The sequence below is a fragment of the Homo sapiens genome, chromosome 19 (genome assembly GCF_000001405.40).
Source record: "Homo sapiens chromosome 19, GRCh38.p14 Primary Assembly".
In the NCBI taxonomy this organism is placed as follows: domain Eukaryota; kingdom Metazoa; phylum Chordata; class Mammalia; order Primates; family Hominidae; genus Homo; species Homo sapiens.
In genome coordinates this window covers 14,208,866-14,227,994 of record NC_000019.10, presented here as the reverse complement: position 1 = coordinate 14,227,994, position 19,129 = coordinate 14,208,866, and the positions used below count along the sequence as shown (strand labels likewise).

The 19,129-nt window shown below is 47.3% G+C and overlaps 1 pseudogene, besides 7 other annotated features; it reads right to left on the bottom strand.

Moving 5' to 3' along the window:
• Nucleotides 6,223-6,746: an enhancer, noted in NCBI's record as "H3K4me1 hESC enhancer chr19:14332061-14332584 (GRCh37/hg19 assembly coordinates)". NCBI's record gives its function as "activates a minimal SCP1, AML or CMV promoter by ChIP-STARR-seq in naive H9 embryonic stem cells {active_cell/tissue: H9 hESC(naive)}" and the evidence as "EXISTENCE:reporter gene assay evidence [ECO:0000049][PMID:30033119]".
• Nucleotides 6,417-6,476: an enhancer, noted in NCBI's record as "active region_14159". NCBI's record gives its function as "activates an Ori minimal core promoter by ATAC-STARR-seq in GM12878 lymphoblastoid cells {active_cell/tissue: GM12878}" and the evidence as "EXISTENCE:reporter gene assay evidence [ECO:0000049][PMID:35858748]".
• Nucleotides 6,487-6,566: an enhancer, noted in NCBI's record as "active region_14158". NCBI's record gives its function as "activates an Ori minimal core promoter by ATAC-STARR-seq in GM12878 lymphoblastoid cells {active_cell/tissue: GM12878}" and the evidence as "EXISTENCE:reporter gene assay evidence [ECO:0000049][PMID:35858748]".
• Nucleotides 10,434-10,543: a silencer, noted in NCBI's record as "silent region_10239". NCBI's record gives its function as "represses an Ori minimal core promoter by ATAC-STARR-seq in GM12878 lymphoblastoid cells {active_cell/tissue: GM12878}" and the evidence as "EXISTENCE:reporter gene assay evidence [ECO:0000049][PMID:35858748]".
• Nucleotides 10,434-10,755: a biological region, named in NCBI's record as "ReSE screen-validated silencer GRCh37_chr19:14328052-14328362".
• Nucleotides 10,445-10,755: a silencer, noted in NCBI's record as "fragment chr19:14328052-14328362 (GRCh37/hg19 assembly coordinates)". NCBI's record gives its function as "represses an EF-1alpha promoter that drives an FKBP-Casp9 reporter gene in an ReSE screen in phorbol 12-myristate 13-acetate-treated (for megakaryocytic differentiation) K562 erythroleukemia cells {active_cell/tissue: K562(+PMA)}" and the evidence as "EXISTENCE:reporter gene assay evidence [ECO:0000049][PMID:32094911]".
• RN7SL231P (RNA, 7SL, cytoplasmic 231, pseudogene) lies at nucleotides 14,672-14,943 on the bottom strand (annotated as a pseudogene).
• Nucleotides 17,871-18,370: an enhancer, noted in NCBI's record as "H3K27ac hESC enhancer chr19:14320437-14320936 (GRCh37/hg19 assembly coordinates)". NCBI's record gives its function as "activates a minimal SCP1, AML or CMV promoter by ChIP-STARR-seq in naive H9 embryonic stem cells {active_cell/tissue: H9 hESC(naive)}" and the evidence as "EXISTENCE:reporter gene assay evidence [ECO:0000049][PMID:30033119]".

The following is a 19,129-nucleotide window of genomic DNA, read 5'->3' as shown; positions in this document are numbered from 1 at the left end:
CCTAGGCACCACCTAGTCAAACCCCCTGGCCCATGTGGTCCCCAACTCACCCATGATGCTTTGCATCGCCTTCACTAAATGCCCCGCCCCTCCCTCTGTGTCCGCCCCAGAGCTGAATCCAGCCCACAGATGTAATTGGCTTGGTCCATGCAGGCTTTAAAAACATTTTGTAATGACTTGCTAGCTTTTATTTATTTATTTATTTATTTATTTATTTATTTATTTATTTATTTATTTTTGAGATGGAGTCCCACTCTGTCACCCAGGCTGGAGTGCAGTGGCGCGATCTTGGCTCACTGCAAGCTCTGCCTTGCGGGTTCACGCCATTCTCCTGCCTCAGCCTCCCGAGTAGCTGGGACTACAGGCGCCCCCCACCACGCCCGGCTAATTTTTTGTATTTTTAGTAGAGACGGGGTTTCACCGTGTTAGCCAGGATGGTCTCGATCTTCTGACCTTGTGATCTGCCCACCTCGGCCTCCCAAAGTGCTGGGATTACAGGCGTGAGCCACCGCGCCCGGCCCATGACTTGCTAGCTTTTAAATACAGGCTGCTTTTTCATTGTTGTTGTTGTTGTTTTTGTTTTTGAGATGGCGTCTCGCTGTGTCGCCCAGGCTGTAGTGCAGTGGTGTGATCTCTGCTCACTGCAACCTCTGCCTCCTAGGTTCAAGCGATTCTCCTGCCTCAGCCTCCCAAGTAGCTGGGATTACAGGCAAAGGCCACCAGGCCCAGCTAGTTTTTTTCTATTTTTAGTAGAGGCAGGGTTTCACCATGTTGGTCAGGCGGCCTTGAGCTCTTGAACTCAAGTGATTCGCCCCCCTCAGCCTCCCAAAGTGCTGGGATTACAGGCCTGAGCCACCAGTGCCAGACCTCAGGTGATTTTTGCATAAAAATCTGGATGCCTGACTTCCTCTAAAGATGAAATCTTGTCTGGGCGTGGTGGCTCATGCCTGTAATCCCAGCACTTTGGGAGGCCTAGATGGGCAGATCACCTGAGGTCAGGAGTTCGAGACCAGCCTGGCCAACATGGCAAAACCTTGTCTCTACTAAAAATGCAAAAATTAGCCAGGTGTGGTGGCACGTGCTTGTAATCCCAGCTACTCGGGAAGCTGAGGCAGGAGAATTGCTTGAACCTGGGAGACGGAGGTTGCAGTGAACCGAGATTGTGCCACTGCACTCCAACCTGGGTGACACAGCAAGACTTGTCTCAAAAAAAAAAAAAAAACACAACTGAATTAAATGAGTTCATGCTATATAAGGAACGGGCTTAGCAAGTGCTGATAAATGTTACTCATTCTTATCATTATTTGCCATAGTCCCACCCCCCCTTACTGTCTCCCTGACACTGAAGCTGTTCCGTTGCTGGTGCAGTCAGTCTTTTTATCTTGGCTGCTTGGCGTATTTATATTACCTACTGGCTGTCCCTGTAGGTTTGTGGCATGCTCCAGCTCAGTTCTGGGTCATCACCTCTGCTATAAAGAGGTTCCCCAGTCTGGGCATGGTGGCTCAAGCCTGTAATCTCAGCACTTTGGGAGGCCAAGACAGGAGGATGGCTTGAAGCCAGGAGCTCAAGACTAGCCTGGGCAACACAGTGACACCCCATCTCTACAAAAAATAAATAAATAATTAGCCATGCATGATAGCATGTGCCTGTAGTCCCAGCTACTCGGGAGGCTGAGGCAGGAGGATCGCTTGAACCCAGGAGGTCGACTGCGCCACTGCATTCTAGCCTGGGTGACGAAGAGAGGTCCTGTCTAAAAAAAAAAAAAAGAAGAAAAGAAAAAAAAGCCTCTCTGGTCCTCCACCTCACTGTCCATCCGTTTCTCAACACTCCCCATTTTCGAGTTTCCCTCCCCCTCCACTGTACCACGGGCCCTTCCTGACGCTTCATCAAGTGCTTGTGGAATTGGATATCAGGGCCTGTGTTCATTTCCTGGGGCTGCTGAAATACATTACCATAAACTAGGTGGCTGGAAACAACAAGAATTTATTATTTCACCATTCCGGAGGCCAGAGGTTGCAATCAGGGTGGTGCAGGGCTGCAATCCCTCCGAAGGCACTAGGTGAGGATTCGTCCTTTTTTCTTCCAGCCTCTGATGGTTCCTTGCTTGTGTCTGTACTGCTGAAAGCCCTGCCTGTCTTCACTTGGCCTTCTTCTCTGTGTCTAACCCCCTTCTCTTCTAAGGTCATTTATCATTGGATTTTGGGCCACCCTAATCCAGGATGATCTCATTGCAAAATCCTTAACTTAATTACATCTGCAAAAACGCTTTGTCCAAATAAGGTCACTGCTATGGTTTGAATGTCTGTGTCCCTTCCAAATCCATATGTTGGAAGAGTTGGGGTTCTTGGGAAGTGATTAGGCCAGGAGGGCCCCATTCTCATGGGTGAGATTATTGCCCTTATAATTGAGTGTGACAGTTTGGAGATTTCTCAAACAATTTAAAATTCTTCTATTTTATTTGACCCAGCAATCCCATTACTGGGTATATACTCAAAGGAATATAAATTGTTCTACTATAAAAACACATGCACATGTATGTTCATTGCAGCACTATTCACAATAGCAAAGACTTGGAATCAGCCTAGGTGCCCGTCAATGGAGGATTGGATAAAGAAAATGTGGTACATATGCACCATGGAATACTATGCAGCCATTAAAAAAGAATGAGGCCGGGCATGGTGGCTCATGGCTGTAATCCCAGCATTTTCGGAGGCCAAGGTGGGTGGATCACTTGAGGCCAGGAGTTCGAGACCAGCCTGGTTAACATGGCAAAACCCCGTCTCTACAAAAAAATACAAAAATTAGCAGGGTATGGTGGCAGGTGCCTGTAGTCCCAGCTACTTGAGGGGCTGAGGCAGGAGAATTGCTTGAACCTGGGAGGCGGAGGTTGCAGTGAGCCGAGGTCACGACACTGCACTTCAGCCTGGGTGACAGAATGAGATTGTCTCAAAAAAAAAAAAAAAAAAAAAAAGAATGAGATTATATCCTTTGCAGCAATATGGATGGAGCTGGAGGCCATTCTCCTAAGTCAACTAATGCAGGAACAGAAAACCAAATACCACACGTTTTCACTTATAAGTGGTAGTTAAACACTGAGTACACATGGACACAAAGGTGAGAACAACAGGCCAGGCACAGCGGCTCACGCCTGTAATCCCAGCACTTTGGGAGGCTGAGGCAGGTGGATCACTTGAGGTCAGGAGTTCGAGACCAGCCTGGCCAACATGGTGAAACCCCATTTCCACTAAAAATACAAAAACTAGCCAGGCGTGCTGGCACACACCTATAATCTCAGCTACTAGGGAGGGTGAGGCAAGAGAATCTCTTGAACCCGGAAGGCAGAGGTTGCAGTCAGCCGAAATTATGCCAGTGCACTCTACCCTGGGCAACGGAGCAAGACTCCATCTCAAAAAAAAAAAAAAAAAAGATGGGAACAACAGACACTGGTGTCTATTTGAGGGTGGAAGGTAAAAGGAGGGTCAGGATTGAAAAACTACCTGTTGGGTGTTATGGTGATTACCTGGGTGACAAGATTATCTGTATACCAAACTCCTGCAAAACACAATTTACCCAAATAAGAAACTTGGACATGTGCCCCCTTGAACTTAAAACAAACATTGGATAAATAAATAAATAAATAAATAGGCCAGGCACAGTGGCACACGCCTGTAATCCCAGCAATTTGGGAGGCTGAGGCAGACGGATCACTTGAGCTCACTAGTTCGATACCAGCCTGGACAACATGACAAACCCCATCTCTACAAAAAATACAAAAATTGGCCGGGTGCGGTCGCTCACACCTGTAATCTCTGCACTTTGGGAGGTCGAAGCGGGTGGATCATGAGGTCAGGAGATCAAGACCATCTTGGCCAACATGGTAAAACCCCGTCTCTATTAAAAATAGAGAAAATTAGCCAGGCATGGTGGCAGACACCTGTAATCCCAGCTACTCGGGAGGCTGAGGCAGGAGAATCACTTGAACCTGGGAGGCGGAGGTTGCAGTGAGCCGAGATCACGCCACTGCACTCCAGCCTGGTGACAGAGTGAGACTCCGTCTGAAAAAAAAAAAAAATCAGTTGGGTGTAGTGGTGCGCACCTGTAGTCCCAGCTGCTCCCTGGGAGGCTGAGGTGGGGGGATGGCTTGAGCCCGGGAAATGGAGGTTGCGGTGAGCCGAGATCGCACCACTGCACTCCAGCCTGGGTAATAGAACCAGATCTTGTCTCAAATAAACAAATAAATAAAATAAAAATAACTCGCTTGGCCAGGTGCGGTGGCTCACACCTATAATCCCAGCACTTTGTGAGGCTGAGGTGGGTGGATCACCTAAGGTCAGGAGTTCAAGAACAGCCTGGCCAACAGGGCAAAACCCCATCTCTACTAAAAATACAAAAGTTAGCCAGGCATGGTGGCGCACACCTGTAATCCCAGCTACTCAGGAGGCTGAGGCAGGAAAATCGCTTGAACCTGGGGGGTGGAGTGGGCTCTCACCAGACACCAAATCTGCTAGTGCCTTGATCTTGGACTTCCTGGCCTCCAGAACTGTAAGCAATACATTTCTACTGGCTGGGTGCAGTGGCTCACACATGTAATCCCTGCACTTTGGGAGGCCGAGGTGGGCAGATCACCTGAGGTCAGGAGTTCCAGACCAGCCTGGCCAACGTGGCAAAACCCCGTCTCTACTAAAAATACAAAAATTAGCCGGGTGTGGTGGCGGGCGCCTATAATCCCAGCTACTTGGGAGGTTGAGACAGGAGAATCGCTTGAACCCGGGAGACCGAGGTTGCAGCGAGCCGAGATCTCGTCACTACACTCCAGCCGGGGTGACAGAGCGAGACTCTGCCTCAAAAAAAAAAAAGAAAAAGAAAAAATTCTATTACAGTTGACCTTTGAACAACACGGGCTTGAGCCATAACTGCCTGAGTCCCCTTGTAAGTGGATGTTGTTCCGCCTCTGCCACCCCTGAGACAACCCCTCTTCTTCCTCTTCCTCCTCAGCCTATTCCATCGGAAGACTCGTGGATGAAGACGGTTATGGTAATCCACTTCCACTTCATGAACGGTAAATACATTTTCTCTTTCTCATGATTTTCATACCATTTCTTTTTTCTAGCTTACTTTATTCTAAGAATACTGTATGTAATATATAGAACATACAGAATACGAGTTCATGGATTGTTTATGTCATTGGTAAGGCTTTTGATCAACCATAGGCTATCAGTGGTTAAGTTTTTGGGAAGTCCAAAGTTATATGCAGGCCAGGTGCAGTGGCTCACGCCTATAATCCCAGCACTTTGTGAGGCTGAGGCAGGAGGATCACTTGAGCCGGGAGTTCAAGACCACATTGGGCAACATAGCGAAACCCTATCTCTACAAAAAATATGAAAGTTAGCTGGGTGTTGTGGTGTGCGCCTGTGGTCCCAGCTACTCGGGAGGCCTTAACTTTCTTCTTTTTTTTTTTTTTTTTTTTTTTGAGACGGAGTCTTGTTCTGTCGTCCAGGCTAGAATGCAGTGGCGCGATCTCGGCTCACTGCAAGCTCCGCCTCCCGGGTTCACACCATTCTCCTGCCTCAGCCTCCCGAGTAGCTGGGATTACAGGGCCCGCCATCACACCTGGCTAATTTTTGTACTTTTTGGTAGAGCAGAGTTTCACCATGTTGGCCAGGCTGGTCTCAAACTCCTGACCTCCAGTGATCTGCCCGCCTCAGCCTCCTAAAGTGCTGGGATTACAGGCATGAGCCACCGTGCCTGGCCTCCTTAATTTTCTTTGTCTCTCTTCACTCATTCAGTTTTTTATTTTATTTTATTATTTTTTGAGTGGAGTCCTGCTCTGTTGCCCAGGCTGGAGTGCAGTGGTGCAATCTTGGGTCATTGCAACCTCTGCCTCCAGGGTTCAAGCAATTCTCCTGCCTCAGCATCCCGAGTAGTTGGGATTACAGGCACCTGCAGCCACACCCAGCTAATTTTTGTATTTTTAGTAGAGACAGGGTTTCACTATTTTGGCTAGGCTGGTCTCAAACTCCTGAGGTCCGGTGATCTGCCTGCTTCAGCCTCCCAAAGTGCTAGGATTACAGGTGTTAGCCACTGCGCCCGGCCATCATTCAGTTTTTTGAAGCCAACGGAGACTCAGACCCTGCACCCCCAGCCGTGCCCCCAGAAGCCCGCTGTCTTCTCTCTTCCTTGCACCCACGGGAATGGCTCTCCCTCCAGGAGGGATGGGTAGGGGCAAATGCCACCCCGTCCGCCCTTTGTTACCAGGGAGGCCGAACCCACCTCTCTTCACACTGCAGAAGAACTCGGGTGAGCACCCCCACTTTCCCGCAAGCTCGCAGAGAGCATCCTCCGCCCACCCGGCAAGCACCACTTCATCATGCCACCGCCAGGGTGTCAGGCCGGGCGGGGCTGAGCGGTTGTCATTTCTCTAACTCGTCAGAACTCTGCACTTCCTTGACAGTTCGCTGGCTGGCCTCCGACCCGTAGCTGATTTCTTTCCAGGGCTGACAGGTTGGGTTAAGAGGGAGCGCTCCCCTGAGCCGAGACATACTTTCTTTTGCCTCCAAGTTGCGTCATCCCCCACCCTTCACCAAGAACGCCCACAACTCCTGGATGGTGCATTACCCTCCCACCCCCCCACCCCGTCCCCTTCCTTTCCCTCCATTCCCAAATGACGGCAGCCCTGGGGCCAAACTGGCCCCAGATGTGTTGTTTGGCCTGTGTGGTTAACTCCTTGTTTTTAAAAAATTCCTTTTTTAAAAAAAATTAAAAAAAAATTTTAAATTCCTTTTTGGAATAAAATTCACCTAACGTAACACTCGCCATTTTATTTTATATTATTTTTAGAAACAGAATCTCTCTCTGTTTCCCCGGGCTGGAGTGCAGTGGTGCAATCATAGCTCACTGCAACCTCAAACTCCTGGGGTCAAGCGATCCTCCCACCTCAGCCTTCCAAGTAGCTGGGATTACAGGCAGGCTCCATGTTGCCCAGCTAATTAAAAAAAATTTTCGCCGGGCACTGTGGCTCACGCCTGTAATCCCAGCACTTTGGGAGACTGAGGTGGGTGGATAACCTGAGGTCAGGAGTTCGAGACCAGCCTGGCCAACATGGTGAAACCCTGTCTCTACTAAAAATACAAAAATCAGCCAGGTGTAGTGGCACGCGCCTGTAATCCCAGCTACTTGGGAGGCTGAGGCAGGAGAATCGCTTGAACCTGGGAGGCAGAGGTTGCAACGAGCCAAGATCGCACCACTGCACTCCAGCCTGGGCAACAGAGCAAGACTCTGTCTCAAAAAAAAAAAAAAATTTTGTAGAGGTGGGGTCTTGCTATGTTGCCCAGGCTGGTCTCAAACTCCTGGGCTCAAGCAATCCTCCCACCTCTGCTTCTCAAAGTGTTAGGATTACAGGCATGAGCCACTGTGCCCAGCCAAGATTAATTGTACATTTTTTTGTTTTTGTTTTTTGAGACAGAGTCTTGCTGTGACACCCAGGCTGGAGTGCAGTGGTGCGATCTTTGCTCATTGCAACCTCTGCCTCCTGGGTTCAAGTGATTCTCTTGCCTCAGCCTCCTGAGTAGCTGGGACTAGAGGCGTGCACCACCATGCCTGGCTAATTTTTGTATATTTAGTAGAGATAGGGTTTCACCATATTGGCCAGAATGGTCTTGAACTCCTGACCTCAAGTGATCTGCCCGCCTCGGCCTCCCAAAGTGCTGGGATTACAGGCATGAGTCACTGTGCCTGGCCCCAATTGTACATTTTAAAATGTACAATTCACTGGACTTTTGTATACTCAAAGAGTTGTGCAACTATCACCTCTAATTACAGAACATTTCCATCACCCCCAAAAGAAGCCCTATCCCCACTAGCAGTCAATCTCCATTCCCCATCCCCCATCCCCTGGCAACCACCAATCTGTTTCTGTCCCTATGTGTTTACCTGTTTTGGGCATTTCATATAAAGGAAGTCATACACTATGTGACCCTCTGTGTCCGGCTTCTTTCCCTTTTCCAAATGTTTTCAAGGGTCATCCATGTTGTAGAGTTAATGTCTTTATTGTGAAACACATAAATCTTAGGAGCACAGGTCCGTGGATTTTTGAAATACATTTCACCCTTATCACTGTCACCTAGTTCAAGATCAAGAACAGTCCAGTCTCCCAGGAGGCTCCCTGGGCTACTTTCCAGGAAGTGGGCTGCCTCAAAACATCACCAAGCCAGTGGCTTTTTTTTTTTTTTTTTTTTTTTTTGAGACGTAGTCTTGCTCTGTTACCCAGGCTGGAGTGCAGTGGTGCTATCTTTCTTTGCTCACTGCAACCTCTGCCTCCTGGGTTCAAGCAATTCTCCTGCCTCAGCCTCCCACGTAGCTGGGACTATAAGCACACGCCACCATGTCTGGCTAATTTTTTTGTATTTTTAGTAGAGACAGGGTTTCACCATGTTGGCCAGGCTGGGCTTGAACTCCTGGCCTCAAGTGATCCACCCGCCTCGGCCTCCCAAAGTGCTGGGATTACAGGTGTGAGCCACTACACCCGGACCAGTGGCTCCCATCTGATGGTGATTATGCCCCTAACAACAGAAATTTGTCGCAACTGGGGGGTGCTGCTGGTACGTAATGGTTGGAGGCCAGGGATTCTGCTCAACGTCCTACAGTGCACAGGACAGCCCCCATCACGCAGGATCATTTAGCCACAAATGTCAATGAGGCCGAAGTAAGGAAACCCTGGGCTTCCCCAACTCTTTTCATAGGTTACTTCTGCCTGGCCTTGAACAACACAGAATGAAATCACTCGGGGTATTCTCTTTGTTATCTTGCTTCTCCTACTGAACATTATGTCTCTGGGATTCATCCATGCTGTGAATGCGTCAGTAGTATATTCTTTTTCATTGCTGCGTTATATTCCATTATAAGAATGTCCTCCCATTTCTTTTCCACTTGCCAGTCGATGGTCAACTTAAGGGGTGTCTGGTGTTTGGTGATCATGAATGAAGCTGCTAGGCACATCCATGGATATGTCTTTAGGTGACCCTAAGCTCCTGTTCCCACTGGGAATCAACCCAGGAATGGAATTGCTGGGTGGCAGCAATTTAACTTTAGTAGATCCCCATGGGATATTTAAAGCTCAGGGAATTTTGCGCAACAACCGTGATTTCTGGCTTCTCTTGAAGAAGCTATTTTGGCAACATTGAGCCTGAGTTCCCACGTGGTAGCGCACAGCTGGAGCTGAGTGGTAGCAAGCGGGTGCCTAAGGAAAAGGGGGGGTGGTGCAACTTCAGCTACCCTGTCCTTCACCACCGCCTCACACCTGCCCAATTTCTGCATTTTCATTCCCTGGTCAGCATTTGGCTTTGTGTCCCCTGAAATGAGCTCATGCAAGGTTAGGAGTCACCTTCTACCTTCCCGTGGCCATCACCTCTACCTCTCTGGGACCCACCTATAACCCCTCACTCCTATTCCCAACCCCCTTCCCAACCTATCTCCATTCCACAGAGCCTGCAAGCCCCCACATCCACCTTAATCCCAAACACAGGATCCCTTTAGACCTGGCAGGCATTTCTGGGTTGCCGCAGACCCCAACACTCCCTATCACACTATTGCAGCTTGGATCCTGCCGGCTTTTTTCTTGGTAACAGCCTCAGAGCCTCCATATGAGTGGTCCTCTCTGCCCAGATCACCATGAGGGGGACTGCTATTTAAAGCCAGCAGGTCCCTGCCTCAGTTTACCTGTCACTTCCCCAGGGCTGGGCAGCCTTCTTTGTGCCAGGACTGGCCAGTGCCGGGACTGGATCTGTCTCATTCATTGCTGTTTTCCCACCACTCAATTCATTACACAATGAATCCTGGCCCTGAGGCTTGAAGGAGAGAGAGGCAGAGTCAGTGCCAGGTTGAATAAGCCACTTACTGGCCACACGTTCTGCAAAAGCTAGCTGGTGAGCTTGCCAGGCACATCTCACTCCTCAAAGGAGAAGTCCCTCCCCGTTGCTGGTCTGAGGGATCTGGGTCTGAGAAATCCCTCTTCCTCCCCAGAACACACTGGCCAAGTCCAAGTCCAGCAAAGCTTAGGGCTTCTTCCCTGGGATCCTCAACCCCACAGGCCAATCCCACCCCTCAATCGTCCCGGTCTTTTCCATGCATGGTCTAAATTTCCTCCAGTGGAGCCACCAGGGCAAGGCCTTCCGCCTGCCAGACTTTCCCGGACTCCCCAGTTGATCACCCATCTTCCCGCACCTCCCTCAACTCTCCGCTCCTCTCTCCCTAACACCGGGCTGTCTCCTCACCTTCTCACACCTCCCAACCTCCCTACGCATTTTTCCCTTCCTTTAAGCAGCCCCCATCTCAAACACGCTCAGCTCTCTCCCTTCACCCCCACTTTGTCCCCTCACACCCCAACTCCCTGAGCACCTGGGGAGAAGGGGCGGGGCCCCCTCACCTGGCGGCCGCAGAGCAGCGGGGAAGCGGCCCCTAGCGGCCGGGGAAGGAAGCGCAGCCCAGCCGGGCTCCCCTTTCAGCTGGTGCCTAACTAGGAATCCGCCTCCACTTAAACGCCCGCCTGCTGCTCAGGCTGGAACCCGGCGGCTTCCGGGATTCTCGCTTTCCTCCACTCCCCCGCTTTCTCCTGAGCGCCTACTATGTTCCAGGATCGGTCCTAGGCTCCGGGTAGACAGCAGTGAACAAGAAACAAACATCTCTGGACTGGGGAGTTGGTATTCTAGTGAGGGAGACAGATAAATGAATGAAAACGAAACTAGGTCAGGATATGCTGTGGGGACCAGGAGTTCGAGACCAGCCTGGACAACATAGCGAGACCCCCCCCCCCCCCACATCTCTGGGACTGGAGAGAGATAAAGGGGAGAGGAGATCAAGGGAGTGAGGAGGGTGGGGGTGTTTGCAGTTTTCTTTTTTTTGAGACAGAGTCTTGCTCTGTCGCCCAGGCTGGAGTGCAGAGGTGTGATCTCGGCTCACTGCAACCTCCACCTCCCGGGTTCAAGCGACTCTTGTGCCTCAGCCTCCTAAGTAGCCGGGATTACAGGCATGCGCCACCACACCCAGCTAATTTTTGTGTTTTGTATTTTCTTTTCTTTTCTTTTTTTTTTTTTTTTTTTTGAGACGGAGTCTCGCTCTGTCGCTCAGGCTGGAGTGCAGTGGCGTGATCTCTGCTCACTGCAAGCTCCGCCTCCCGGGTTCACGCCATTCTCCTGCCTCAGCCTCCCTAGTAGCTGGGACTACAGGCACACACCACCACGCCTGGCTAATTTTTTGTATTTTTAGTAGAGACGGGGTTTCACCGTGTTAGCCAGGATGGTCTCGAGCTCCTGACCTCGTGATCTACCCGCCTCGGCCTCCCAAAGTGCTGGGATTACAGGCGTGAGCCAGCGCGCCCCGTCCTGTGTTTTGCATTTTCAATAGAGTGGTCAGGAAGTAACATGAGCAGAGTTCAAGGAGGGTGCAAAGTAAGGGGTCCTGTTGACTCTGCCCCTAAGACATGCCCAAAACCTAACGTTTCCCCCCAGCATCCTGTTCTGGGCCTCCATCACCTGCCTGTCACCTGGATGACAGTGGTGATCACCTCGCGAATCTCCTGGCTCCCTCTCAAATTGACTATATAATTTATTTATTTATTTATTTATTTATTTAGAGACCAGGTCTTGCTATGCTGCCCAGGCTGGTCTCGAACTCCTGGGCTCAAACGATCCTCCCGCCTTGACCTCCCAAAGTGCTGGGATTACAGGCATGAGTCACTGCGCCCGGCTGACCTGTATAATTAAAAAATAATAATAATCAATATATATATAATTGATTGTATATATTATATATATTATATATATTATATATAATTGATATATATAATATAATATATATTATATATTATACAATATATTATATATTATACATTATATAATATATATTATACATTATATATTATACATTATATATTATATATTATACAGTATATATTATACATTATATAATATATATTATATTATACTATATATTGTATATTATATTATATATTATATTATACTATATATAGTATAATATATTATATTATATATTATATTATACTATATATAGTATAATATATTATATTATATAATATATTATACTATATATAGTATAATATATTATATTATATATTATATTATACTATATATTGTATAATATATTATATTATATATTATATATTGTATAATATATTATATTATATATTATATATTGTATAATATATTATATTATATATTATATATTATAATATATTATATTATATATTATATATTATAATATATTATATTATATATTATATATTATAATATATAATATTATATATTATATATTATATATTATATATAATATTATATAATATAATATTATATATTATATATAATATTATATTATGTATTATATAATATATATTATATATTATATATTATATATTATATATTATATTATAATATATAATATTATAATATATAATATATAATATTATAATATATAATATTATATATTATAAAATATAATATTATATATTATTATATAATATATAATATTATATATTATAATATATAATATATAATATATAATATATATTATAATATATAATATATAATATATAATATATAATATTATATATATAATATATAATATTATATATATAATATATAATATTATATATTATATATATAATATATAATATTATATATATAATATATAATATATAATATTATATATTATATATATAATATATGATATATAATATTATGCAATATATAATATAATATATAATATTATATAATGTATAATATATAATGTATAATGTATAATATAATATATAATATTATACAATATATAATATAATATATATTATACAATATATAATATAATATATATTATATAATGTATAATATATAATATATAATATTATATAATGTATAATATATAATGTATAATGTATAATATATAATATTATATAATGTATAATATATAATATTATATAATATATAATATATTATATTATATAATATATAATATATTATATATTATATATATCAATTATATATAATATATATAATATATATAATATATATAATCAATTATATATATTGATTATTATTATTTTATTGATATTTATTGATAATATTATATCAATATTTTTTGATAATATTATATATAATATTATAATATATAATATTATATAATATATACAATATATAATAATAATCAATAAATTATATATATATATATATTTTAAGAGATAGGGGTATCGCTCGGTCACCCAGGCTGGAGTGCAGTGTTGCAGTCACAGCTCACTGCAGTCTCTAACTCCCAGGCTCAAGTGATCCTCCCACTTCAGCCTCCCAGGTAGCTGGGATTACAAGAGCACACCAGCATTCCTAGCATTTTCTTTCCTTCCTTCCTTCCTCCCTTCTTATCTTCCTTCCTTCCTTTTTTTTTTTTTTTGGCATCTCACTCTATTGCCCAGGCTGGACTGCAGTGGTGCGATCTCAGCTCACTGCAAACTCTGCCCCTGGGTTCAAGTGATTCTCCTGCCTCAGCCTCTGGAGTAGCTGGGACTACGGGCATGTGCCACCACGCCCAACTTTTTTTGTATTTTTAGTAGAGATGGGGTTCTCCATGTTGGCCAGGCTGGTCTCAAACTCCTGGCCTCAAGTGATTTGCCAGCCTCTACCTCCCAAAGTGCTGGGATTACAGGGGTAAGACACCGTGCCCCAGCCCCTAGCATTTTTTTTTTTTTTGAGGCAGAGTCTCACTCTGTTGCCCAGGTTGGAGTGCAGTGGCACAATCTCGGCTCACTGCAACCTCTGCCTCCTGGGTTCAAGCGATTCTCCTGCCTCAGCCTCCTGAGTAGCTGGGATTGCAGGCGCCCGCCACTACGCCCGGCTAATTTTTATAGTTTTAGTGGAGACGGTGTTTCACCATCTTGGCCAAGCTGGTCTTGAACTCCTGACCTCGTGATCCACCTACCTCGGCCTCCCAAAGTACTGGGATTACAGGCGTGAGCCACCGCGCCCGTCGGCCAGCATTTTTAATTGAGCTGAAATTCCCACAACAAAAAATTAACCACCAACCATTTTAAGGTGGACGATGTCGTGTCATGTCATAGTACATTCATCATGTCTAGTTCCAAGACGTTTTTCATCATCCCCTAAAGAAAACTCACACCTGTTAGCAGTCACTCCCCATTTCCTGCCTCATATAGTAATTCTGTGTTATTGAGGGAGCACTCATATAATCTTTTATTTATTTATTTATTTTTATTGATTGATTTGTTTTTTTGAGACAGAGTCTCGCTCTGTTGCCCAGGTTGGAGTGCAGTGACATGATCTTGGCTCACTGAAAGCTCCGCCTCCCCCGTTCACACTATTCTCCTGCCTCAGCCTCCCGAGTAGCTGGGACTACAGGTGCCCGCCACCACGCCCAGGTAATTTTTTGTATTTTTAGTAGAGATGGGGTTTCACTGTGTTAGCCAGGATGGTTTCGATCTCCTGACCTCATGATCCACCAGCCTCGGCCTCCCAAAGTGCTGGGATTACAGGCATGAGCCACCGTGCCTGGCCTATTTTATTTATTTTTACTTTAACGTTTTGTTTTAGAGACAGGGTTGGGAGGTTTTAGAGAGGATAGGTTGGGGGCGGGGAATAATTCCAACTGTGGTCTTTTTCTTTTCTCACCCTGTTGCCCAGGCTGGAGTGCAGTGGCTATTCACAGACGTGATTCCACTACTGATCAACACAGGAGTTTTGACCTGCTCTGTTTCCAACCTGGGCCAGTTGACTCTTCCTTAGGCAACCTGGTGGTCCCCTGCTCTTGGGGGGTCACCACATTGACGCCGATGGTCATGGCACACACCACCTCCCAGAAGTCCTAGGCTCAAGCCTGTGTGCGTGAATCCTCCTGCCTCAGCTAGGATACAGGATCACACCACCAAGCCCAGCCCTATAATCTTTTAAACATCCAAATAAGATCATGCCACCCACTTCTGAAAGCCCTCTTGGGGTTCCTAGTATCACTGGGAATATAATCTAGACCCTCTCCTGGCCTCCCACCATGCTAGCCTAGCCCTGGTGCCTTTCAAATAGTCCTGCCTAGCTAGGCGCAGTGGCTCACACCTGTAATGCTAGCATTTTGGGAGACCGAGGCGGGAGGATCGCTTGAGCCTGGGAGTTTGAGAACAGCCTGGGCAACATTGTGAAACCCTGTCTCTACAAAAATACAAAATTAGCCAGGCATGGTGGTGTATGCCTGTCGTCCCAGCTACTCAGGAGGCTGAGGCAGGAGACTTGCTTGAACATAGGAAACAGAGGTTGCAGTGAGCTGAGATTGAGTCACTACACTCCAGCCTGGACAACAGAGTGAGAAAAGAAAAAGACCACGGTTGGAATTATTCCCTGCCCCCACCCTATCCTCCCAGCCCAAATCTGGGACCCGGCTCAGAACCTAACTTTTTCTTTTTTTTTTTTTTTTTTAGACTGAGTCTTGCTCTGTCTCCAGGCTGGATTGCAGTGGTGCGATCTCGGCTCACCACAACCTCCAGCTCCCGGATTCAAGCGATTCTCCTGCCTCAGCCTCCCAAGTAGCTGGGATTACAGGCATGTGCCACCATGCCTGGCTAATTTTGTATTTTTAGTACAGACCGGGTTTCTCCATGTTTGTCAGGCTGGTCTCGAACTCCCAACCTCAGGTGATCTGCCCACCTCAGCCTCCCAAAGTAATGGGATTACAGACGTGAGCCACTGCGCCCGGCCTATAACTACATTTTTTAACTACTTGGGCATGTTCTGGAGCCTTCGTTGCCCCTTCTATAAGATGGGGAGAAAGTCCCCCACCCACAGAGTTACCATAAAGTATAAATGAGAGCATTCGTGTTCATTTGAGCCATTTCTCGGCCAGCCTGAACCTCTCCCCGGGCACCAACTTCATGCCTCCACTTGGACATATCAAACCAAAGGCTTGGATCTAACCTACAAAACTGCCTCCTCTCCATCCTCTCCATCCTTCCAGGGGCTCACTCAGCTCACACATTTTGACTTACCTCTTTCCCTCGTATCCCACTTCCAATCCATCTGCTCCACCTTCAAAATATACCCCCTGAGGATGGGCGCGGTGGCTCACGCCTGTAATCCCAGCACTTTGGGAGACTGAGGTGGGCAGATCACCTGAGGATGGGAGTTCAAGACCAGCCTGACCAACACGGAGAAACCCCGTCTCTACTAAAAATACAAAATTAGCCAGGCGTGGTGGTGTGTGCCTGTAATCCCAGCTACTCCGGAGGCTGAGGCAGGATAATGGCTTGAACCCCGGAGGTGGAGGTTGTGGTAAGCTGAGATCACACCATTGCACTCCAGCCTGGGCAACTGCGTCTCAAAAAAACAAAACAAAACAAAACAAAAAACAAACAACAAAAAAACCTGGCCGGGTGCAGTGGCTCATTTCTGTAATCCCAGCACTTTGGGAGGCTGAGGTGGGCAGATCATTTGAGGTCAGGAGTTCAAGACCAGCCTGGCCAACATGGTGAAACCGTTTCTACTGAAAAAAAAAAAAAAAAATCAAAAATTAGCCTGGCATGGAGGCGCATGCCTGTAATCCCAGCTACTTGGGAGGCTGAGGTAGGAGAATCAATTGAATCTGGGAGGCAGAAGTTGCAGTGAGTCGAGATCATGCTACTGCACTCCAGCCTGGATGACAGAGTGGGACTCCATCTCAAAAAAAAAAAAAAAAAGAACACAGTTGGAATTACTCCCTGCCCCCAACCTATCCTCCTAGCCCAATTCTGGGACCTCTTTATCTTGCCCTCCACTTGGCTTGGCAGTGGGGGTGGAACTGAATGGAGCTCAGAAATCGCCCAAGGTTGGCCGGCCACCATGGCTCACACCTGTAATCCCAGCCCTCTGGGAGACTTAGGAAGGAGGATCATTTGAGCCCGGGAGTTTGAGACCAGTCTGGGCAACATAGCAAGCTATGAAAAAAAAAAAAACAAAAATTAGCTGGGTGTGGTGGCTCGTGCAGTGAGCTGCAGTGAGGTATGATTTCATCACTGCACTCCAACCTGGGTGACAGAGAGAGACCCTGTCTCTAAAAATAAATAAAGAGGGCAGCGCGGTGGCTCACGCCTGTAATCCTAACATTTTGGGAGGCCGAGGTGGGCGGATCACTTGAGGTCAGGAGTTCGAGACCAGCCTAGCCAACATGGTGAAACCCTGTCCCTACTAAAAATACAAAAATTAGCCGGAAATCACTTGAACCCGGGAGAGGGAGGTTGCAGTGAGCAGAGATCGTGCCACTGCACTCCATCCTGGGCAACAGAGCGAGACTCCTCAAAATAAATAAATAAATACAAATATAAATAAATAAATACAAATATAAATAAATAAATAAAAGAAGTTGCCTAAGATGGGGGTACAGGGAGCCTCTGGAAAGGCCAGGGACACACAAAACTTCACCCACACCTCAAGGCTTGGATAGGTCCATCCTCCACTCCCTGGCACCTGCTGACTTTCCAGGGCTCATTCCATCACACATTCTGAGTCCATCTTCTCCATGATGAAGGGAGCGCCCAGAGAAGGCTCCCTGCCTTGTTCCCTGTGCACTGGAGGCGCATTCTCAATGCATCACACTGCACCTGACAGGTAAGAGCATATAAGGTGCGTGCTGTGTGTTTGAGGCGTAAATGGAAGGAATGAATACGTGCACCGAGCAGTGAAATGAACAGCAGGGTTGTGCATCCTATACCGAATGGGCTCTAGGAAAACAGGGGCTGGGGGCGCCTGGTGGACAGTGGCTGTCTGGCGTTGCCCTGACCTGTCCAGGAGCCTGAGGCAGGGCACCCGGGAACGAGGGCGCTGGGCCTGAGGCAAAGGGAAGCTGAGCACTGGGGTGAAGCAGAGCCTTCAGGACTGTGAGGCTGGGGGCCCAACCGAGGCAGTGGGCGCAATACATGGAAGGCACAGAGAGGGGACAGACAAGGCACAGGCGAGCCCAGCTGTGTCTGACGCTGGGATGCTGGAGGTGCTAGGCGTACAAAATGTGGAGTCCCAGATACGCAGGAGAGCACAGGGTGCCCTAGGCATAGGGCACCCTGGGCGTGCGGGTTCTCTAGCACAGGGTGCGCAGAAGATGGGGCGTCCAGGTGCAGGGTTCATAGAACATGGGGTACTCGAGGCGCGTGGCACCGTGGGCGTGGAGGTCCCGTGGGACGGAATACACAGAGCGTGGGGTGTCTCAGGAGCGGGGCTCATGGGGAGCCCAAGGCGCAAAGTGGGAGGCTGGAAGCGAGGAGCGCCCTGGGAGCAGGGTGTCCGAAGCGCGGGTACCGACCTGGGCAGCGCGGGGCACGCGGCGCGCGGGCGAGTCTGCGTGCGCGCGCGGACGCCTTGGTTCCCGGAGCCCGGTTGCTGGCGCGGCCTCCACTGCGGCTGCGCAGCCGAAGGCCTGAGGGGCGCCAGGGCTCTTTACGCGCCCCCCAGCCCCTCCGCACTCTTTGCCTCCTGAGCACGCCGCTCACAAGTCCAGGAGACATGGATCAGATGGAGGCTGGAGAGCCGATCCCAGCTGGGACCAGTGGGGTTTAGAGGGTCTAGAAAGGGGCGAGGGGCGGGGGTGAGGGGGGTTCCGGCTGGGGTTTTCCAAACTGAGCTGAGGGTGCCTTAAAGAATGTCGTTGCTTTCCCTCATGTAAGTAAAGGCCACTCCTTCTCGTAGCCTCTGGAGAGTGCAAGTTAGAACCACCTCCTAGGCTAGCTCTGTAGGGGGAAGTGGGTGGGCTGCTCAGGGCTGGAGGGTGGGGTGGGGACAAAGGCCTGGAGCAGGAGAACAAGGAGGTGACCAGCTTTTCCTGAGCGTCAAGTTCTGTTCCCTTTTCGGTACTGCTGGGTTTATAGAAAGCTGGCTGCCTGGAGTGCCCTCCATCTCAAAGCCTTCATGGGTCTTACTTGGTGCTGTCAATATCTCAAACTGGGAAATTGAGGCGTAGAGAGATGGGATGCCCTCCTCCATACCCAGTGGATCTGCAGTCAACCACAGATGGATGGGATCCGTTTTGCACTCACCAAATCCTACTTTATATTTGGTCCCCCAGATCCCGGTGTCCAACCTGGCCACCCAGATTCAAGGCTGGACAGCTTTG